The sequence below is a fragment of the Homo sapiens genome, chromosome X (genome assembly GCF_000001405.40).
Source record: "Homo sapiens chromosome X, GRCh38.p14 Primary Assembly".
Lineage (NCBI taxonomy): Eukaryota > Metazoa > Chordata > Mammalia > Primates > Hominidae > Homo > Homo sapiens.
The window spans coordinates 101,916,861-101,940,903 of record NC_000023.11 but is presented as its reverse complement, the minus strand read 5'-3'; the positions used below and the strand labels follow the sequence as shown (position 1 = coordinate 101,940,903).

Sequence of the window (24,043 nt, the reverse complement as noted above, 5' to 3'; positions counted from 1 at the left end):
GCTGGATTCGGTTTGCCAGTATTTTATTGAGGATTTTTGCATCAGTGTTCATCAAGGATATTGGTCTAAAATTCTCTTTTTTTTGTTGTGTCTCTGCCCGGCTTTGGTATCAGGATGATGCTGGCTTCATCAAATGAGTGAGGGAGGATTCCCTCTTTTTCTATTGATTGGAATAGTTTCAGAAGGAATGGTACCAGTTCCTCCTTGTACCTCTGGTAGAACATTTATGCAGCCAAAAAACTCATAAAAAATGCTCACCATCACTGGCCATCAGAGAAGTGCAAATCAAAACCACAATGAGATACCATCTCACACCAGTTAGAATGGTGATCATTAAAAAGTCAGGAAACAACAGGTGCTGGAGAGGATGTGGAGAAATAGGAACACTTTTACACTGTTGGTGGGACTGTAAACTAGTTCAACCATTGTGGAAGTCAGTGTGGCGATTCCTCAGGGATCTAGAACTAGAAATACCATTTGACCCAGCCATCCCATTACTGGGTATATACCCAAAGGACTATAAATCATGCTGCTATAAAGACACATGCACACGTATGTTTATTGTGGCACTACTCACAATAGCAAAGACTTGGAACCAACCCAAATGTCCAACAATGAGAGACCAGATTAAGAAAACGTGGCACATATACACCATGGAATACTATGCAGCCATAAAAAATGATGAGTTCATGTCCTTTGTAGGGACATGGATGAAATTGGAAATCATCATTCTCATTAAACTATCGCAAGGACAAAAAACCAAACACCGCATGTTCTCACTCATAGGTGGGAATTGAACAATGAGAACACATGCACACAGGAAAGGGAACATCATACTCTGGGGACTGTTGTGGGGTGTGGGGAGGGGGGAGGGATAGCATTAGGAGATATACCTAATGCTAAATGACGAGTTAATGGGTGCAGCACACCAGCATGGCACATGTATACATAGGTAACTAACCTGCACATTGTGCACATGTACCCTAAAACTTAAAGTATAATAATAATAACAATAATAAAGTTTATGATCTTGTGAGTCTGACAGTATCCAGTTTATGATGGGAAATTCTGGCTATATGTTCACTTGATGTTGAAGAATCAGGTGCTCTGTGTATTTTAAGGCCTAATAACATGACAGGGAATCTTTTTTGAATGCTAATTCTTCACTGCAGATAGCATGGCCCTGATTCAGAACATCAGAGATTATTTGTAAGTCTCCTGTTGAAGCTTGCCATAAATTCCACATGGAATCTATTTCCTCCAAATGCACTTCTAATAGTATAAGATCTGTTGGGTCATATGGCCCAAGAAGCAGGGCTACTTGCACTCCAACTTGGACCTGCTTTAGAGTCTTTTCCTGCTTTCAGCCCCAGTCAAAGTTGGTAGTCTTGCATGCCACTCAGTAAGTGGATCAGTGCAGTATTCCCAAGTTAGAATATATTGCCTCCGCAATCTGAAGCAGTATATCAGGTGTGGTGTTTTCTACTTATTGGTGGACAACACAAAATACTACAATGTGTGTAGTGTTTCTGTAGGATTGTGCCAATATGCCCAAAACCACTGGACCCCTAGAAACTCTACTGACATGAATCTGCAATGATTTTATTCCTCACCCTATGAAGCACATGTGTTTTACTGATGACTTCAATGTACCTGCCAATTCTTTCTCATTTGATCCAATTGATGTGGTGTTATCGATATAGTGGATCAAAGCAATGTTCTGCAGAATGTCCACACAGTCCATATCTCTTCAGACTACGTTATAACAGTGGCAGTGTTACCATATCTCTGGGGCAAAGCCCTAAATTGATTCTGTTTTTCAAAGCATGTGAACGTGAACTGCACTTGGTCATTCTTCATGACAGTAATGGGAAATAATTCATTGCTAGATTAGCGGCCACACACAATGTACCTAAAACCATGTTCATCTGTTCTGACAAAAATACCACATCCAGTACAGTAGTTGCATCGGGGCTAATACTTGTTTGTGTTTATGGTAGTTCACTCTCCTCCTCTATATAATCTCTCTGGACTAGTGAATTAAATGGGAAAATGATAGACATCACTACCCTTACATCATTTAATTCATTAAGAGTGGCACAAATTTCTGCCACTCCCCACAGGATTTTTATTTACTTATTTATTTATGTATTTATTTTTGACATGGAGTCTCACTCTGTCACTCAGGCTGGAGTGCAGTGGTGCAAACTCCACACACTGCAACCTCCAGCTCCCTAGTTCAAGCGATTCTCCTGCCTCATCCTCCTGAGTAGCTGGGGCTAGAGGTGTGTGCCACCACACTCGGTTTTTTTTTGTTTGTTTGTTTTTTGGTATTTTTAGTAGAGACGGGGTTTCCCCATGTTGGCCAGGCTGGTCTTGAACTCCTGACCTTAGGTGATCTGCCCACCTTAGCCTCCCAAAGTGTTGGGATTACAGGCATGAGCCACCACACCTGGCCCACACAGGATTTTTTATGGTTGTTTTATTTATTGTTCTGGCTGGAATAGTAGCAGCTCTGAAGCTGCTACTACTGAATTTCCCCAGAATGATAGCTTTCTCCTCACAGGCTAAGGAACAAATGTGGAGATTCTATCATCTGTCATGTATATCCATTCTAATTATATATTTGTGGATCAGGGAAACGACAAGCAGATTAGTCTGTGGGTTCATTAGAATGACAGTGAACCGGACCTGAGCAGACTCAGTAGAAACACAGTGAGGGCCTCCAATAGAGGGCCATGATGATGCTTCAGGTCTTCAGGCATCTAGTTGGCATAGGGTCAGCTAGAACCCTATGTCCAAAGGCCTAAAAAATGTATAAATAATTTCCCTCAGTGTACAGTTAGCTAAGTAAATGGTCATAGGTCCCTTTGGGGAAGGACTATCAGAATCATTACTATATAAACTTGCTATAAAGTTGCAAGGTTTTCCCTTCTTGGAACCTCATTTCTGTGCTATCCCTGGAGGCTGAAAAGACACAATACTCAGGGGAGTAGGTCTATTGGATTGAGCACTAAAGTGAGAGTCAGCAGATGTGTATCCCATAATCAGAGCCATCAGTCTTTGCAGCACCTAAAGTAGGCCACTCTCTCTCTTATCATACTCAGGACTCAGTAAATGCCAACTGTTATAATTAGTTAAGTATACTGTGGTGCTTTTGAGTAGTTTTGGAATACGAGGCCCGGTAAAAATGTTCAGACCCTCACCCAAACACTCCTGGAATAGAGTTATTTTAAAATCATTCTTTCCTGAAGAAAAGACTTGTGGTGAGTGGCTCTGTTGAAGAAGAGTTCAAACACCTAGATTTGGTTTAAGTACACACACACACACACACACATGCACACACACACACACACACCATATATCATCAAGCTAAATTCTCAGCCTCTTCCCTTAGCACAAAATTTCACATTCTATAATTGTCTTAAATTCTTTCAGAATGCCTACCTGAAATACACCCTTTATCAATAACAAAAAAATTGGCTACAATGACATTTATTCTGATGTTCTTTACATCCAGAAGATGATTATTAGCTAGGTTTAGGATCAGTCTTAAATTTTAAAAATCTAATATACACTATTACATGTCAAATTACTTTTATTTATCTTCATTGTCACTTGAATGCGGGGAACAGTTTTTATCCAAAAGAACAACTCTAGACACCACCTGGAAGGAAAGTTGATGCCTTTTAAAGCAAGACCTGCATGGCGATATAAAGAGGATGAATAACATAAAATATAAAAATCAGAGATCAGAAAGGCACATGAAACAAAGGAAAATGGAGTGATGAAATCGTTCACCGACTCCATACTCCACAGAATGATTAAGTGACCAATGTCTAACTACATTCTTCCTTTAACCAATTATAAAGAAGCTTAGGTTAAAGGAAGACACTTCCCTATGGTTAAAGTCAAACAGTGAGAATGTTCTGGAACTTTCTAGATGTTTACATAGAAAGGAAACATTAAGAGTGATTCTGGCATAGATCTGGATACGAAATCACATGCTAGGATATTTCCTTCAGACCCTCTCTAGGCTGACAACATGTGCGTGTGTCTGTGATGAGGGTAGGGAGCAGAGAACAAGAATGAGAATATATGAAAGTGTACACTATGAGACAAATACATTAGGCATACACAGATCTATTTTTATAAAAGTTCTGTATAACTTCTTTTTCATTTAAATATATGTATGTATATACATTTGACAACATTTCATATCAATAAAGATAAATTTCTATAACTTCCATTCCCTACCAGGTACATCCTGTACTATTGTAATTTTATCTATCACTATTAATCCTGAAACAATGGGGAAATATATGCATTAATTAGCATATAGTTTCATCTTAAGCCTGACTTACCACAGGCTATCTACTCATAGTATTTTCATATATACTTTCCAGATATATTTTATGTGTGTTTATATATAATTCCAAGGCTATATGTTCATATGTGCAAATACATTTTTGTTCAAAATTGAGTCACATTATACATACTGCTATTGTCTGAATGTTCCCCAAAATTCATATGTTGAAACTTAATTGTCAATGTAATAGTGTTAAGTGGTAGTGCCTTTGGGAGGTGATTATTTGTATATCTCAATGTATCTTTTTATTTGTCTTTAATTTTAGTATTGTTAAACAACTTTGGATGTTTGCCATTGCTTCTCACTTTTGAATCATTTGTTAATAAAATTAAACATTACTATTATACCTAGTCAGATTCATGCCTATGTCAGTCATATTACTTATATGCTATTAAATTCTGTTTGGATTATTTCTCCCATTTTCTGATGCCTTTAAATGTATTGTGTTTGTTGATAATGGCTTTTCAATTTCCCCATATTATTCCAAATGAGGTATTTTATATTTCACTGCAAATATAGTGAAATGACCACTGGTATGCTTTTTGTTTTTTGCTGATTTCTCACATATGCAAAAATATTCTCTCATTTCTTTTTAGCACCTCTACCCCTACCTTACACGCAACTTCCCTCCCCTAATCCCACCCTTGTTTCCTTTCTATGATTTGGGGGATTGGTAGTTGAAATTCATTTCAATTAATACAGTCTCCTCCCTGTGGGTCAATGATATAAACAGACCATTTTAATCAATAAGTAAAGAACCATGGAGAAGTTATTTACACTCATGAGACTGAGTTTTGCGTTTTTAAATGGAATTAATGAGCCCAATATAACATCACTTTTGTGAGAAGACTGGGAAATTCTAGGAAACATCTGGCCCATAGCAGGCTTTCCTTAATTGCTACTCTGTGCTATATTCCACCTCCTCTTTCCTGTGAGATAAATTACATTGGCATTCACTTAATAACATTACTGTCATTGAGAGCAATGATAAGTATAAGAGGAGGGAAAGGGAAGTGTGTGCTTATTGTCACAGTGCATGACTGAGGTTTGGTGGCATTTTCATGTTATGGCATGTCACCAAATGCAGCTGAAGGATGGGGAGAAAATTAACTAATAATTTTATTTTATTTTGTGCATTATCCTACCACTTCTTTTTACTGTTAAAGTGGCAGAGACAGAATTTTCCGTGGATCCTAAGAAGGACAAAGTAATTCCATAATTTAATATATATTTGTTGACTGATATAGTTGTTACTGTCAGACAGAGGTCAGGGAACTGCAGAAAACCACTGCTAATCTCACAGATCCTCCAAAGCCTTTGAGTACAAGACTTACAGAAGAATGCTAGGGTCTGAAAAAAAATTTGTTTTATATCTGCCAGATTCCACATAAAGAACAGTTTTTATTTCCTTTCTATTTAAAAAATATCATACAAATACATAGCATTGGTGATACCTAAACCATATTCAGAATCCTGCTGGCAAGAAGTTTAGGAAATGTAATTCACAGGATTCCAGCTTCTGCAACAAAGGAGAGAACATAGACGAGGATGAAAAAGCTTCCAACTGCCAGATGACCTTATCTGCGTAAGTCTCCTGGATTTTACTTCTTTAACCTTTCTGATTCTTTTAAGTACCTGATATTCTACATTAAATATTTTCTGTTTGAAATACCTAGTGTAGTTTCTTTTTTGCTGACTGAATCTTGAGTGATGCCCACTCCTCCAGAGATTCTGAATGAATATTTCTTACCTAAGTGGATTGTGATTCATATTTCAAAAAACAATGTTTTTGAGAGATCCCTCCATATCAGAAGGAATAAAATCACACCCCATTTGTATGCTTGCCTTGTCCTACTAGCTACTTGAGCAGATTATTTCTTGTGTCTGGCCTATCCAGTAATTTCCTTAACGAGTAAAATTTGATCTAACTTACATAAGGACAAGGTAGAAGTCTAGAGAAGCTACCCATTGACTCAGGTAATCTTGGGTAAATTATTGAACCACAAAAAACAACATAAAGATAAGTGTTTAAAAGCCCAGAACTCCAAGTCTCTCTAACTGGTTATTCAGCTCTAGCCAACTGTAGCCATTCAGGAATGCACAGCCAGTACTGCCAAATCTTCATGTTGTTAAGAGACTTTTATTTTGCATGAAATACCCCTTTCAAATGTTGATGAGGTCATGAATAAACAATTGTGTACGTAGAAGAAAACATATCATAAGCCAGATCTAGGGACTTAGAGACCTGGGCCTAGGGATCCCTGCCTTTCAACTTCTGTCCTAGGACTTTACTGGGCTGGAGCATGAGTCATGGAAAATAAGACGCTGTCTTTTGTCTCAAATGGTCCCAGGTTCTTGAGAAGTACAAAGTATATAATTCATTACAATAAAAATACACACCAGATATAGATGTAGCACAGAAGAAGGTGAAATTAACTCTAAGGAGAGACAGAACAGGTTACTTGGTGAGGTGATGTGTTGTCTGGGTTTCTAAGGGTGTATAGGATTTCATTAGGCAAGTGCCTAATGTGGGGGAAAAGGTGTTTCAGGAAGAGAGAAGAACATATATAGTAACATTACATCATGAAATAACATGGTCTTCACAGGAATCTTTTTTTTTTTTTGAGATGGAGTCTCGCTTTGTCGCCCAGGCTGGAGTGCAGTGGCACAATCTCGACTTACTGCAAGCTCTGCCTCCCAGGTTCAAGCCATTCTCCTGCCTCAGCCTCCTGAGTAGCTGGGACTACAGGCGCCCCCCACCATGCCCAGCTAATTTTTTTGTATTTTTAGTAGAGACAGGGTTTCATTGTGTTAGCCAGGATGGTCTCGATCTCCTGACCTCGTGATCCACCCGCCTCGGCCTCCCAAAGTGCTGGGATTACAGGCGTGAACCACCGCGCCTGGCGGTCTTCACAGGAATCTAAGAAGATTTAGGGATTGCTAAATCAAAGTAAAAGCAGAGGGGAGAGATGGGGACAGTGGAAAGAGATGAGGTCAAAGAGGTGAATGGGGAGACTAACAGGGCAAAACTGTGTCTTTTGACTTTGTCCAATAAGCACTGGACAGCCAGTGACGACTGGCAACAACTTGGTAATAGATTGGAGGGATTGAGATCAGAGGAAAGAAGACCAGTGGGGTGGATGCCATACGTCTGACCATATATCATGAGGACTTGAAATACAGCAACGGATCTAAGACTGGAAAGGAGAGAATACTTAAGGGAGACTTGCACAAAGGCACCAGGAGGTGTGCCCATCAATAAGGAAAAGGGTGAGATATCCTACAGCATCGACAGTGCATAACTACAGCTACAAGCAACAACATAGATGAATCTTAGAATGTTACGTGAAAGAAACAAGTCCCAGGCCAAGCATGGTGGCTCCTTCCTGTAATCCCAGCTACTCCAGAGGCTGAGGTAAGAGTATTGCTTGAGGGAAAAAAAAGCAGAAACAAGTCCCAGAATGCTACCTAGAAAAAGATATAAATATTTGTGAAAATTGAAAACAATCAAAACTAAACAACACTATTTAGGCACATATCTATGTGATAAGAATATATGTTAAAATGCAAAGAAATAATAAATATAAATCAGGATATTGGTCTCTTTGAGAGGAGAGGTTGGGGGGACAAGATGAGATTTAAGTGATCAGTAATATTCTAGTACTTCTATTGGGTGCTGAATTCACAGGAAGTTATTGTAATTAAGATGGGCAGATCGATAGATAGGCAGTCCTTTAAGAGGCCACGGAAACAATGTGTCAGAATGAAAGCTTCTGTTCTATTCTCTGTACTAAGTGCTTTAAGAAAGCCAGGGGCCGGGCGTGGTGGCTCACGCCTGTAATCCCAGCACTTTGGGAGGCCGAGACAGGTGGATCATGAGGTCAGGAATTCAAGACTAGCCTGGCTAACATAGTGAAACCCCATCTCTACTAAAAATACAAAAATTAGCTGGGCATGGTGGCACATGCCTGTAATCCCAGCTACTCGGGACACTGAGGCAAAATTGCTTGAACCAGGACCCGGGAGGCAGAGGTAGCAGTGAGTGAGATCGCACCACTGCACTCCAGCCTGGGCTACAGGGCGAGACTCTCCCTCAAAAAAAAAAAAAAAAAAAAAAAAAAAGAAAGAGAAAAAAAAAGCCAGGTGAAGATATATTTCAGAGATATTTTGGAGGTGAGATCAATAGTTTCCAGACATTTTTTCCTCTTAAATTGGTTTTAGATTAGATCTCCAAAGAAGCCTCACTGTGCGAGGCCCACGTGCTTTCACATCCCGCGCTTTTTGCCCTTTGCCCTTGGCCGTCGTTGCTTCCCCTCCAAAGGGAGGTGGGGTGACGCAAGGCAGTGGGGGAGGGGGAAACGGCCGGCGGGCTTAAAGCTCTCCGATTGGTGGACTGAGGAGCGAGAACGAGGCTCGAGCTGAAGCGTTAAAAAGAGGAACAAAGGGGGTGGGGCTAACGGAAGGCGGGGCTAAAGGAGCTTAACGGAATCGAGACGCAAGTGCAATTGTCCGCGCGCCTCGCTGCGATGGCGGCGGCGCCGAGCACAGTCACCCCGCTGGCGGCGGAGTCTTCCCCTCAGGAAGCTACCGTCTCTGCCGCCTCCTCCTCCTCCTACACCGCCTGCGCGGCAGCGGCGGCGGCGGCGGCGGCGGCGGCAGTAATTGTTCCTGCCTCCTCCGCCACCTCCGCCCCTGCCTGCCCGCCTGCCGGTGGCTGTGGCGACGGCGGCGGCGGCGGCTTTGGCGGCTCCACTATGGCGGCGGCGGGGAGGGGGGGCAGTAGTTTTAAAGTAGACACCCGCCCTTGCCTCAGAGAAGGTGAGTTCCCGTCCCGGGGTGCGGGGGCGGCCCCATCTCCTTCGCTGCCTCTCTTCAGCCCGTCCGAGATTGGGCTGGGCGCGGTTCGCCACTGCCCCACCCCCACCTGCCGTGGCGCAGTAAAGGCCAAGCTCGCCCCGCCCCGCCCCGCCGTATTAGCCCCGAGTGTGCAAGATGGACTGAAGCAGAGAGGGCCTTCCCTACCTCTCCCACCTGTAAAGGATGGGGGCCCCCAGGCAAAAGAATTGCAGGTACTCATGAGGCAGGAGTTTGAAGGGAAAAAAAAATACCACATAATTTCTCTCCCAGCCAGGACACCTTAGTGTGCTGTAGGAAGCTGAGGTGTGATTTGGAAGAGAGAGGAGGCAAGATAGAAGTGCTGTGGGCCAAGAGGGTCAAGGATAAGGGAACGGGGACCGATGGAGAAAGGGGCGGAGATAAAAGAGGAAATACCGAAGAAATAAGGGGGAGTAAACCCCCTTTGGTGTTCAACGTCCTGCAGTGTAGAAACTAGAAGTAGAATATTTACAGAGAGATGGCGTTAGAAATTTGGGCAGGTTACAAGTGTATACTTGAGCTTTAAAGTAGGATCTGTCGGATTTTAGGAAGGTAAGGTCTGGTGGAGGGGACTCTACTAGGGAAAGAGAGGAAGAGAGTGTGGCAGAAGTACAGATTTCAGGAATCACTTTGGAGAGTTTTCTTTGGCTATTTGAGGATGTGACCTAGTAAAGCAAGATTTACAGGTCCATCTTTAAGGTGGTTTGGCTTTAATAAGTTCTGTTGTACCTACCAACACATATTACTCCTAACATAAAAAGATATTTCTTGACTGTATCAATATAAGCGGTATTCACACAAAGTTCTGTATACTTGTAAACAGCCTACTAATAGCAAACTGTAAAATTTGCCATTGAAATGTGTTTTAAAGCAGTTTGGGAAATGTTCTTAGCTGGTGGAGACCATTCCACTGCAGAGCATCCCAGTAAAGCATTTTGCCATGTAAATTTCGTAATTAATTTCCAGAATTTGCTGTGTTACCTTATGTTGCTAACTTGCCTCCAAAGTGAAAGATTGTGGACACCAAAATAGAGGAAAGTAAGTTCCTTTTTCTTAGGAAGATACTCCATTAAAATTATCGCATAAAAATAATCTCTTCTTCACATTCTTAAATGATATATCCCTGTGTGCTATTCCATAACCTTTCACACCTTTCACTTTGGAGGAATGGCAAAGTAGAAAAAAAATCCCTTACAATATTTGTATAGGCACATTACATAAATGCCACTTATTAAATATGGAAGTTAGAAGTACACTGTAATGTTTTATTTATCAACTCTCTTACTAAAGTCAACCTTTGAAAGACTCCATTTAGTGTCTTCAATCAGCCTTAATGGATGGAAACATGAAATCTGGATTTTAAAAATTTATATCAACCTTTATGTCCATAACCAGCTAGTAGGCAAGAGCAGTTTTATAGGCATCAAGATCACAATTCAATTTGGCTCTCATCGTCTGTTCACAGTAAGGTTTAAGACCAGTATCTCGTGGAAAAAAAAATATGGCTTTTTGCCTGGAGATGCAACTGGTTTGTTTGCAGTATCTTTTAATATATGCAAATATTAAAGGCTTTCAGAGAGCTAATTTCATAAAGTAGGAGCAATACCTTACTTATGTTATTGCTGTAGGCAGTAAAATGAGGAGCACCCTGGCATAGGAGTGTGATGCAGTTAACATAGGTTCACCTGCTAATTAATTCACTGGACTTTGTGACCCTGAACAGGCCCCATGCCCTCTCGATTTGGGTTTTGACATTTTTGAAATAAGGGAGTAAAACTCCCCACACTCCGAGGGTTGATTTCAGATCTGAAAGTATCAACCATGATTTTGCTGTTCTGATTGATAGTCTTTCCATCACATTTCCATGGCTGTGCACTAGAACAATAACTCATAAATCGTAAGAAACCTTTTCTGATAGTTATCACCTGACATTCAATGAATAATGAGATCTATGTTGAGTTAGTGTTGAGACAATTTACTAGCATATGAAAAACCAAATATAATTGTTAACCTAAAAATTCTCTCTTACCATTTCATTTTAGCTATATATCCTTCATTCACTATTCAGTCCAAACTAAAATTCTCTCACCTTTTCACTTAACAAATGGCAAACATTTTATATATTGCACTGTTCGAAACACTATTAGGCCTCAAAATATTTGTGTGTCTCTCTCTCTCTCTCTCTCTCTCTCTCTCTGTGTGTATATATATATATATATATATATATATATATATAATCTCTCTCTATATATAGAATATATATATATATGCCATAAATGGTTGTCAATTATGATGGCAGATAAAGGAGAAGAAAGGAAAATGTTACTTGGTGGTGTGCCAATATCTTTTGCTTGTTTAAGTCCTAGTTAAAGAGATTGCCCTAAAAGATGTCAAAGAATTGTCAAGATTCAGTTATTGCAAATCCACTCCTTATAGGATCATTAAAAGTGGTTTGGAAAAGCATTTGCTGATCCATTTTGAACTGTAGCTGTTATTCTTGAGGATTTCATCTGTCTTGGGGTGGATAATGAACAAATGTCAATGGAGATTAGAAACTAGCAAACGGAATATTAGAAGCTTTCAAAGATTACAAATGGGACATTGAGCAGTAAACCTAGAAATAGAACAAAGAAAGAAAAGAAATGCCATCTGAAAAGACACATATACACTCAGAATTCACAGTAAAGGGAATTATGAGATTTTGTAGGACACTTCATATTTCATTTTTCAAAAATGTTTAATGGCTCAAAAATGAATTTTCACCCAGGAATAATGTTCTGATATATTCATAGTAAAAAAAAAATTGCTTATTTACCTCTTCCTTTTAAGAAAAAATATATCAAATTTATCCTGTTTTAGATTGGAAGACCTTCTGGCTTTTTATTTAGCTATTAATCCGTTTGTGTAGCAATGCCCTAACAAGACTATCATTTGTCTCCATATTATTCAGTAAAGTTTCAAGTCAAATGATAGTAAGACCACCATAAGAAAATCTAGTGGGTAGGCTGGGCGCGGAGGCTCACGCCTGTAATCCCAACACTTTGGAAGGCGGAGGCGGGCAGATCGCGAGGTCAGGAGATGGAGACCATCCTGGCTAACACGGTGAAACCCTGTCTGTACTAAAAATACAAAAAATTAGCCGGGCGTGGTGGCACATGCCTATAGTCACAGCTGCTCAGGAGGCTGAGGCAGAAGAATCACTTGAACCTGGGAGTGGGAGGTTGCAGTGACCGGAGATAGTGCCACTGCACTCCAGTCTGGGCAACAGAGCGATGCCCCATCTCAAACAAAAAAAGAAAGAAAAAGAAAATCTAGTGGGTAACCTTTCATGTATTCAGGAATCATTTATTGAACACTTCTATGTGTGTGTGCCAGGCACTATGCTTAGTGTTAAGGATATACGGACAAATTAAACACAGCTATACTAAACAACTCAATAATAGTGCTTGATAGTAAAATTATAAAATATTTAAATAAGGGAAGGAATGCAGTTTTAAATGTTACTAGTCAGAATCCTGAGCCACAGGACCATTCCATTGTTTATTATAAATCTGTACTCTGTAGCTCATAGTATTTTATATACTACAGGCACAGTGAAGCAAATTATACTGTAAATCTAATGGTGTGACGGAAGAATAGTAAACTGTTACAGAATTAGTTTTTAATTATCTGCATTTGGCAGGTGGAGATATCTGGAGAGAGGTAAATTATTATTTGTTCGTTTGTGATCCTCTCTATTAGATTTCAGTGTGTGAAAATACTAACTAAGCTTGTTGTAAAGACTAACTTAAGCATACCCCCTACTATATTTATTACATATCAGTTAGGATAAAAACTTTGATTCTTTCTCATCTGAAACCAGCCTTGCAGATTCATTCACATTTACTAACCTGTTGGAATGAATGCCATGTATTTGGTGGCTTTCTGATGCAAAGTAGCTGTCATGGGATCAGGTGTGTTAATGGATTTACACAGTACCTTAATTCAGTTTCTGACTTCACAAGCATGAACCCTGAGCTGGCTAGCTACAAAGTGCTTATGATTATGAAGGTAAAGGACTTGGTTTAAATAAAGACAATGTAAATGTTAAACATATAACTAGTACTCCCAATTATTTTGTTAATTCTGTTGTAATATGTAATTGTTAACATGCCATGGGAAACCCTTCATTATTTCTTTGATTGTGATAACTGTGTAAAGTAGCTAAAACTTGGCAAACTCATAAGTCAGGTGGTAGTCTTATAAACTGAAAAACTAAGGACACTAGATAGCATTATAGCTGTGAGTGGTCATCATGCTGAGAGGTACAGATCTGCATTTCTACCACAGCTATTATTCATGAAAATTCCTTAAACAGAGTGTGACCTTTAGGGGAAAAAGAGTTAAAACATTTTGTGTAGGTTAACTCAGTTCCCCAGTCTCCTATAACTTAGTGCTGTGCTCTGCTCATTCTTTTCTAAGATTGTGATGGTGTTAAAAGATTGCAAAGGTCAAGTCAGTTTTTTTTAATTCTATTTAATCAAGAATGCTTGAGGGAGTTTAAAAGTGTAATCATGGAAAATATAGCACATGTGCTCTTTGCACAATTAAAATGATTATTTCTCAGATTTTGTAATGCCTGACTTGAAATCTGTGACTGAGAATGAGATTTATGTTTATGATATTGCAGCCAGTCCTGAAGTTTGCTCCATTTTTGTTACTTTATTAAAATAGGGTATACAACGAATCCTTTATAATGCTAGATGTTTTTGCATCAAGATCAGTTGGCCTGTGAACTTCCCACTTCAGCAAAGCATTAAAACATCTAATAGCAAGTTTTTCCCATAAACATCTGACGGGTTATCCTGAGGAGGAAATTTGGGGTTTTGTGCAACTCAACCTAATTGTCATTTAACAAATGCAAGTGAGATTCACTTTATTAAATATAGCCAGTTATATCTAAAATAGAGTCACCTAATTTGAATAGCTTAAACTTGGGGGTTAACAAAGAACATTTAATTGGAATGAACAGAGAATTCTCTTGCCCGGAACTGAAGAAATATGGTAATTTTCTGGTTCCTTTCCTCAGAGATCCTGCATGGTTTACAATTCCATAAGCATGGGTGGACCAAATTCATTATTCTCACTCAAGCCATAAATGTTTTATTTTTGTCATAAAAATGCATTTCATCTTAAATTGCCTGTTGTTATGTAGTAGCATTAATTAGAAAATTTCAAATATGATAATTTGGATTTCACACTCAGCTGCACTTTTGAATGCAGAAGTTAATGTTACTTTACTTTCACATAATAGTGCTGCTATTTGGAGTAGGCACAATCCAACAAAAGTAGCTAAAAAGTAAGTTTCTGTCAAGTCAATCTCTTTGCTTTTTATATCATTGAAGGCAGATATTCTGGTACAAACTGAATTGAGTATTTTATATCAACATAAGGAATTTTAGTAATGCCCAAGTCCATAGAATGTGAGCTATTAGTACTCCTAATTGCATCTTACTGACTTAAGAACATCCCTCTATTACTATTGTCTCTTCCCAGACTACTAGAATTTTTTGATAGACCAAATCCACCTGAGTCTAGAATCATGTTTTACAGTTTACCTCCCTCAATTCTTTAATTCCTATTACCTCTCTGGGCCTTAGCTTCCTCCTTTATGAAATGAGGACATTGGATTGGTTCTAAACTGGAGGCAGTTTTGCCTCACGGGATATTTGACGTTGTCTGGAGATATTTTTGGTTGTCACAACTATGGAATGCTACCGGCATCTGATTGGCAGAGGCCAAAGATGCTGCCAAATATCCTATAATGCGTAGGACAGGCTCCTCACCACAATCAGTTATCCAGCCCAAAGTGACAATAGTGCCGAGTTTCAGAAACCATGAACTAGATGACCTCTAAAATAACTCTGGTCTAAATAAAATGATTATGTATAATATTAAGTAAAAAATGCAAAGCTTCTGGATTAGTGAACAAGCATACTTTATCAAGTGCCTACATGTGTTGAACATTTTAAAAATTATTTCATTTAACATTCACCAAATCCTAGAATTAAAAATTACACATTGTATTTCTGTACCTTTTAGGTGAAATAAAAAACGGTCCATAGTGGTTACATAATTTGCTGAAGGCTATATAGTTGTGGGTAAAGATGGGATTTGAATCTGTTTGACCAACTCAGAATCTTATTTATTTTTTTCCAACATCCCAGTACTGTAGGTCATAGTTTTTCTCCCCATTACAAATTATTATGAAAGATTTATTTTCTTAGGTCATGAAAACATTTCTTGTAAGAGGGAAATGAAGAGGTAAAACACTCTTATTTATAGAAAATTGGAGTTTATTCATTTCTCCCACCAAATGCTGAAGCCACACTTAAATGTAATCAAATACATTACTGGAATATATGAGCTCTCTGATCAGATCCCATTTATAATTTGTCACAAAACTACCATTTCATTTCAAATAACCATCATAAATGTTATTCAGAAGTGGATTGTTTATGTCATGGTAGCAAAACAACCATCACTTGCTCATGCAGTTTCCTCTGAGCAGCAGGTTGACTCTGCAGGGCAGCTGTCCTTCATGCAGTGATTCAGATGCTTTTATCTTTTATTTTTTTCAATATTTTATTTTATGTTTTATTGTAAAATATGCACACCATAAACTTTGCCATTTTAAGTGTGAAATTCAGTGGCATTAACTACATTTACATTGCCAAGCAAGCTTCACCACTGTCCATCTCCAGAACTTTTTCATCATCCCAAATTGAAACTCTGTACGTATAGGTCATAGTTTTGTTATATGACCATATTTCTCCACTCTGAAGAACTTTCTGATGTATTTATGGAAAGTAATATATATTTAAAAGTCATGCTTAATTTGTTAACAGTTGGCAACTTGAATAGTTTCTTATTACCACAAAGCACAGCATTGCAAAGCAATTTTACCCTCTTATACCCTGAGTATAAATGGGACCATCTAGTAAACATTGGTCTTATCTTTTCCACATCTTATTATTTTTAAACCCTTACTTCATTATCAGATATAGGTTATCTTCCCATTTTGAACCTAGGTTTTGATAGTACTTTCTTATTCCCCATTGCTTTTGTTTCATGTTAAAATGGAAATAAATGATATCAGCATCAGAAATTCCTGTATATTTTAAAGATGGTATATTCCACTTCATACTTGAGAGCATGCCTTTGTGTCATTAAGATCTCAATACCAAGTTTCACTAAAGTAGGCTCCTTGGCCGGGCACGGTGGCTCACGCCTGTAATCCCAGCACTTTGGGAGGCCGAGATGAGTGGATCACCTGTGGTCAAGAGTTCGAGACCAGCCTGGCCAACATGGTGAAACCCCATCTCTACTAAAATTACAAAAATTAGCCGGGCACAGTGGTACATGCCTGTAATCCTGGCTACTTGGGAGGCTGAGGCAGGAGAATCACTTGAACTCGGGAGGCAGAGGTTGCAGTGAGCCAAGATCTCACCACTGCACTCCAGCCTGGGCAGCAGAGTGAGACTTCATCTCAAAAAACAAAAAAAAACTTGCTCCTCTATCCTTATCTCTTTTCCAAGTTTATAGTAGCATAAAAAAATTCAAATGTACCAGGGAATGAAGAACAGTTGAAAAATTCTAGGCTAGAAATATTGAAAAAATATGCCTAAAATTAACCAGGAAGTATTTACCATACCATTTTCAAAGACATGTATTTTTTCCAGATGAGACTTGAAATCATACTTCACAATATTTAGTATGTTGTCATTTGATATTCTAATGTGTAATCTGTTTATATTTTTAACCCTAGCTCTCCTAATTTCTTTCTTAATTAGATTGAAAGATAAAAGACCATCTGCCATGAATTTTGTACATTTATCATTGGGGAAAACTCAACTGTTGTACCTAAATCATAACCAAAATACTAATTTTGCAGAAAAATTTCTTTTTAACTCTAGTTGCAATTATTAAAATATTACACTTGGTAATAGAAATGCCTCATAGATCTTTACAAAGAGATATTTTGGAGAGAACCAGCTTTAGGGTTAGGACATAGACAAGAAAATAAAGATAATGGAAGATTAAGAGAAGAAATATTGGGACCCTTTGATTTTTTAGGCCCTTAAAGGTTTGTGTTAACTGTATAGCTGCTTAAAACTTTAAATCATCTTCTGTGCTTCGTATTTGGAAGCAGCTAGGTGTTTGGGTCCTCTGTAAGTACCCCACCAAAATTTTGCTTCCGTATATATTCCAATCTAAAATATATTTTTTCATTGATCACCATCAACCCATATAAAGTCAGGTAGAAACAGAAATCTGAAAGGCTGTGATATGTTCTTAGTCACACAGCTAGTTAATAGCAGGGTGAAAACTAATGCAGTCTCTCTCATCCTAATGCTTTTTACAACTCTTACTATTGGAATTAAGAATCAGTATAAACCCACACTTAACAACCAACCAATAAAAATAGATTTATTTCATATTCTAATCAGTTAAGGAAGAGAAAAGACATGGTGAGAGTATAAAGAAGAGAAGAGAGGAAGATGCCCCCAAGTTTCTTCAGCTATCCCTTGGTTCCCATTTCTACTAGAATCAGCTCCTAAGTCCCAATTCTATGCCAGAACAGTTTTATTCCTGGCAGGTAGTGAGTTCTCAGTAAGCATTAGTTCCTGTCCCAGTCATCTTCCTCACAGTCAACATTATCTGCTCACCTATCCTCTAATTGAACATCTGCTCCCTGAGGCTGGCCTTTCCTCTAAGCTGTCACCCTGAAACAGGCTGAAAGACATCTGTATTGTCACCAGTTTCCTCTCGACTTCCAGAATTGGCTATTGGTCATTTTTTTCTGGGAGTCCAAAAATCATGTCTCAAATAGTGGGGGTTGGGGGTCGGGTGGATCGAAAGAAACATTTAGCATCTCTTGTGAATCAGACATATGTTTCTTACATATGTCAAGCCTGGAGATCAAGTCTCTTTTTAAGATTAGCCTTGCCTGTAATCCCAGCACTTTGGGAGGCCAAGGCAGGCGGATCACCTGAGGTCAGAAGTTTAAGACCAGCCTGGCCAACATAATGAAATCCCGTCTCTACTAAAAATACAAAAATTAGTCGGGCATGGTGGTGCACGCCTGTAGTCCAGCTACTTGGGAGGCTGAGGCAGAAGAATCACTTGAACCCCGGAGGCAGAGGTTGCAGTGAGCCAAGATCACACCACTGCACTCCAGCCTGGATGACATAGCAAGATTCCATCTCAGGAAAAAAAAAAAAAGGCCTAGCCTTTCTAAGAGTGAGCTCAGGGAAATCTTGGGCAGACTTAGATTTGAATCCTGGCTTTGACACTTATCAACTGTGTGACTTTGGGCAAACTGTTTAACCTCTCCAAGTCTTAGGTATGACTTTTAGAAAGTGGACATCATCAAATTCATGTCAAATTTAGAGGAAATGCAACCTGAGGAGAATGTGGCAGTGTACAGTAGCCTCTGGAAAACAACACCCATTTTATAAATTTGTTCTCAGTGGAAACCCCTCTTCCATGAGCCTCCTGGTGGCAGATTCTAGAAGATCCAAAAAGATCTTGAAAGCCTGGAAATGGTTGTTTGACTCTAAGAAGGTGAAACTTAAAATAAAAAATATAAGTATATATTAGATCTGTTTGGGATCCAATAGAATTTCTATCTAACTATGTCCTAGAGGGATATATTTTAACCAGTTCTAGATCAAAAAGAACCACGTATTTAATCGAAAGTTAGCTGAGCATGAGTCAACAGTATGATATGACCACCAAAAAATGGTGAAGCTATTGTAGACTGTATTAATAGAAGATAAATACTCAAAATAAGGAGTTAAATATACTTAATACTACTGAGCTGTACACTTAAAATGGTTGAGATAGTAAATTTTACATGGATTTTACCACAATTTAAAAAAATAAGTACCCCACCAAAATTTTGCTTCCGTATATATTCCCATCTAAAATATATTTTTTCATTGATCTCCATCAACCCATATAAAGTCAGGTAGAAACAGAAATCTGAAAGGCTGTGATATGTTCTTAGTCACACAGCTAGTTAATAGCAGGGTGAAAAAGGTGGTCCCATTTTACTTATTTGTTGTTATTACAGTATTAAAGTGATTGTGTTTAGGTTATACCTTATGAGTGGCAGGGATTTAGGCAAACTAATAACACTAAAAAAGGATTAGAAATTATGACATACTGGGATTAATTCACAAATAGGGCAGAGAGGGAGGGAAGAATAAATATGTCCTAAATAAATAATGCTGTCTTAAAATATTGAAGGATTGTCATTTTAGAAGAAGGTTTATACTTACCCTTGTTGTATCACCTGGAAAGCTTTAAGAAACAAAACAAATAATAAAATATGACTGGGAACCGCTCTCAGAGATTCTAATTAGTCTGGAGTGGATCCTGGGCACTGGTATGTTTTAATTGGTGATTCTGCTGTGCAGCTAGGCTTGAAAACAACCGTGGTGGAAGGTTGAACCAAATGACTAGTTTGACTAAGAGATTACGGCCAAATATAGGCTAAAAGCACAGATTATTTAGCCTCAACTTCGGAGAATTAAGTAGATTTGAAGTAGTGCAAAAAAGATGTACATTTATATATCCTTTTTTTTTTTCAAAAATCTCTTCATGTTAGACTAAAGCATAATTTAGCTTGATAAGTACCATTCTAGATGGCAAGACTTTTATATCAATCAGCTTAGTCACCAAATAGATATTGGACAGCTGTTATCTGTAAGAGTCTAAGCCTGTCCTGTAGGGCAACGATTCCCATCCGAACTGATCATAAGAATCACTTATGGATGAATTGAACCACCCACAGATACTTTGATTTTAATTCAGCATGTATGATTTTGAAAAGCTATGTGTTTGGATGTGATAGAAAACCCTGATTGATTAATTATTTTTACATTAGGATTTGTTCCTGAATATATGAGTAGATATAAACCATTTGACTGAATTAGGAAAGCATGCTACTTAGAAAAAATTTGGATAAATCCGTTTAAGTACATTTTAATTTTTCTTTTTTTTCCATTATTTTCTCCTTGCAGAACTCACAGTCTACCTTTTAAGTACATTGTAAATGTGAATCATCACTCCAGTATCTTTTATAATTTCATATTTTCATGTATTTTAATTTTCAATTACTGAAATCAGAGCATCAACATATTTATTTTATTACACCCACAAAGAGAATTTGGCATTGACAATTGTAGACGAATTTGTTTCATGTAAAGTCAAAGCTCCATCTCCTGCATCAGGAACAACATTACTTAAGCTTAAATGTAATAGATCTAGGCTGGGCACAGTGGCTCCCACCTGTAGTCCCAGTACATTGGGAGGCAGAGGCAGAGGCAGGCAGATTATTTCAGCCCAGGAGTTTGAGACCAGCCTAGGCAACATGGTGAAACCCCGTCTCTACAAAAAATAAAAAAATTAGCTGAGCATGGTGGTGTATGCCTGTAGTCCCAGCTACATGGGAGGCTGAGGTGGGAGAATCGCTTAGCCCAGGAGGGGGAGGCTGCAGTGAGCCATGATTGCGCCACTGCACTCCAGCCCGAGTAAAGGGTAGGACCTTGTTTCAAAAAAAAAAAAAAAGTGTAATAAATCTAAAGGATTGTTGTATTCATAGCAAGTTCTAAACTCAAGCTTTAATACTCTCTAGTTTTGATATACCTCTTCTATTCTTTCCTTCCATTCTGTGCCCACTACCCTTCTTCTGGTTCAATCCTGAAGCCTGAAACTGACCCCTGATATACCCACTTTAAGTCACTCCTTTCCGCCTGTTGAATGCAGAGTTAAGTCCATATGCCCTTGTGAAGCCCATCATGACTTGGCTTTATTCTAAGCTTTCCGTTATTGTCCTTCATACTCTTGCCTCCCCTGAAATACTTTCATTCCACTCTTTTTGTTTGAATTTTACATATCTTTTAAAGTTTCGTTCAAAATCAGTTCTACTCCAGAAACCTTTTTTTCCCCCAAATTCCTCAGCAGGAGCACACTGTACCTTCTTGTGTCTTATAACACTTAGACCATGTTGGTCTTGGGATCATAGTTCTTTCGGTACACATCTCATCTTCCTTACTAAATTGTCAATTTCATGAAATTAGGAATTGCATCACGTAGTTTGTCATCTCCAACATGTGGAACCGTTATGTATGCATAATGAAAAGAGTCAAGATAATGCAAAGTTAAGTTCCAGCTAAACCCAAATGACGTGACAAGTTATTTTGATTTCACTGAATCCTAATTTTCTTTTCTTCAAAATTTTTGAACATTCAGACAAATGTGCCACTTACCTTGCACATTTGTCTTAAGGTCTAAAGGGATAATCTATCATTTTTGACATATAGAGGCCCTCATTAAATGTTTGTTCTTTCTTATCTCTCAAAAATATCTACCATAATACTTTGAAACTAAGCTCAATACATAACAATAAAGTTATATGATACCCAAGACACTGAGGGCCTGAACTAGGTAGTGTTATGAATTAAAAGGAAAAGGTAGATGTTGAAAAATGTTATAAGCTAGAATTGATATGAGTCAATAATTTTCTGGGGAGAAGAATGACTGAGATTTTAATCCTAGGAATATTATGCCATTTGATTAAAAAAAAAGAGAGACCAAGAACTTGTTTGAGGAAATGAGTCAAAGGAAGTAAGTCTAGGCAACACCATTCTAAACGAAAAGTTATAGGAGCACTAGTATTTTCATAGGCTTCATGGAAATGATCTGGAGCCCCAGTCATGAAAGGGTGTGTTTAAAAAAAAAAGCATTGATATTTATGAACTTGAGTGTCAGTTTCAAACTTTGACTGTTAATAGTGGAGAAGTCTGGAATTAAGGGTTGATCTAGGAGAGAAATAAGTGTTAAATTTTAGGAATTCTTGAACCTTTAATAGTTTCCTTTTGTTTCCTTAAAAGAAATGGTTCTTCTGTAATAAGTTATATTGTAATCAAAAAATAATATTTATTTACTTTCTTTTTAATTTTTACTTTTTTTTTTGAGATGGAGTCTTGCTCTGTCACCAGGCTGGAGTGCAGTGGCGCAATCTCGGCTCACTGCAGCCTCCACCTCCCGGGTTCAAGCGATTCCCCTGCCTCAGCCTCCCAAATAGCTGGGACTACAGGTGCGCACCACCACGCCCAGCTAATTTTTGTGTGTGTGTGTGTGTGTGTGTGTGTGTGTGTGTGTGTATTTTAGTAGAGATGGGGTTTCACCATGTTGGCCAAGATGGGTCAATCTCTTGACCTCGTGATCCACCCACCTTGGCTTCCCAAAGTGCTGGGATCACAGGCATGAGCCACCATGCCCGGCCTTTACTTTTCATGGGTACATAGTAGGTGTATATATTTGTAGGATACATGAGATGTTTTGATACAGGCATGCAGTGTGAAATAAGCACATCATGAAGAATGGGGTATCCATCCCCTAATTTATCCATTGAGTTTCAAACAACCCAATTACTGTTTGCATTATTTAAAAATATATGGTTATTACTGACAATAAGCACCTTGTTGTGCTATCAAATACTAGGCTTATTCATTCTGTTTATTTTGTGCCCATTAACCATCTCTACCTCACCACCAACCCCCCACTACTATTCCCAGCCTCTGGTAACTATCCTTCTAATCTGTATGTCCATGAATTCAGTTGTTTTGATTTTTAGATCCCACAAATAAGTGAGAATATGCAATGTTTGTCTTTCTGTGCCTGGTTTATTTCACTTAACATAATCTCCAGTTCCATTCATGATGTTGCAAATGACTGAATCTCATTCATTTTATGGCTGAATAGTACTCCATTGTGTATATGTACCACATTTTCTTTATCCATTCATCTGTTGGTGGACACTTCGGTTGCTTCCAAATTTTAGTTATTGTAAACAGTGCTGCAACAAATATAGCAGTGCAGATATCTCTTTGATATACTGATTTCCTTTCTTTGGGGTAAATACCCAGCGGTGAGATTGCTGAATCATATGGTAGCTCAATTTATTTTTTTGAGGAACCTCCAAACTGGTCTCCTTAGTAGTTGTACTAATTTACATTCCCACCAACAGTGTATGAGGATTCCCTTTTCTCCACATCCTTGCCAGCATTTGCTATTGCCTGTCTTTTAGATATAAGCCATTTTAACAGGGGTGAGATGTTATTTCGTGTAGCTTTGATTTGCATTTTGCTGATGATTAATTATGTTGAACACCTTTTCATATGCATGTTTGCCATTTGTATGTCTTGTTTTGAGTACTGTCTATGCAAATCATTTGCCCATGTTTTGATTGGATTATTAGATTTTTTTCCATTGGAGTTCTTTGAGTTCCTTCTATATTCTGGTTACTAATCTTTTATCAGATGGGTGGTTTGAAAATATTTTCTCCCATTCTGTGAATTGTCTCTTCACTTTGTTGATTATATCCTTTGCTGTGCAGAAGCTTTTTAACTTGATATGATCCCATTTGTCCGTTTTTATGTTGTTGCCTGTGCTTGTGGGGTATTGCTCAAGAAATCTTTGCCAAGACCAGTGTCCTGGAGATTTTCCTCAATGTTTTCTTGTAGTAATTTTATGGTTTGAGGTCTTACATTTAAGTCTTTAATGCATTTTGATTTGAATTTTGTATATAGAGATAGGGGTCTAGCTGCATTTTTCTGCATATGGATATCCAATTTTCCCAGCACTGTTTATTGATGAGATTATCTTTTCCCCAGATTATGTCCTTGGCACCTTTCTCAAAAATGAGGTCACTGTAGGTGTGTGGATTTGTTTCTGGGTTCTCTATTC

The 24,043-nt window shown here is 38.3% G+C and overlaps 1 protein-coding gene across 8 annotated transcripts in view, besides 1 other annotated feature; it reads left to right on the top strand.

Annotated features, from left to right (window-relative positions):
• Positions 8,598-9,098: an enhancer, noted in NCBI's record as "H3K27ac hESC enhancer chrX:101186779-101187279 (GRCh37/hg19 assembly coordinates)". NCBI's record gives its function as "activates a minimal SCP1, AML or CMV promoter by ChIP-STARR-seq in naive H9 embryonic stem cells {active_cell/tissue: H9 hESC(naive)}" and the evidence as "EXISTENCE:reporter gene assay evidence [ECO:0000049][PMID:30033119]".
• Positions 8,877-24,043, top strand: part of ZMAT1 (zinc finger matrin-type 1) — a 49,738-nt gene continuing 34,571 nt past the window's right edge. For 5 of the 8 annotated variants that reach the window (NM_001394560.1, XM_005262213.5, NM_001282401.2 and 2 more), the window contains exon 1: positions 8,877-9,187. In NM_001394560.1, coding sequence (NP_001381489.1) covers positions 8,896-9,187 — 292 coding nt within the window. In that variant the 5' untranslated portion in view covers positions 8,877-8,895. Of the gene's footprint in view, positions 9,188-9,317; positions 9,439-22,270; positions 22,392-24,043 lie in introns of those variants that run through there. The other 3 variants (XM_017029903.2, XM_005262216.5, NM_001011657.4) reach the window with 2 other exon arrangements.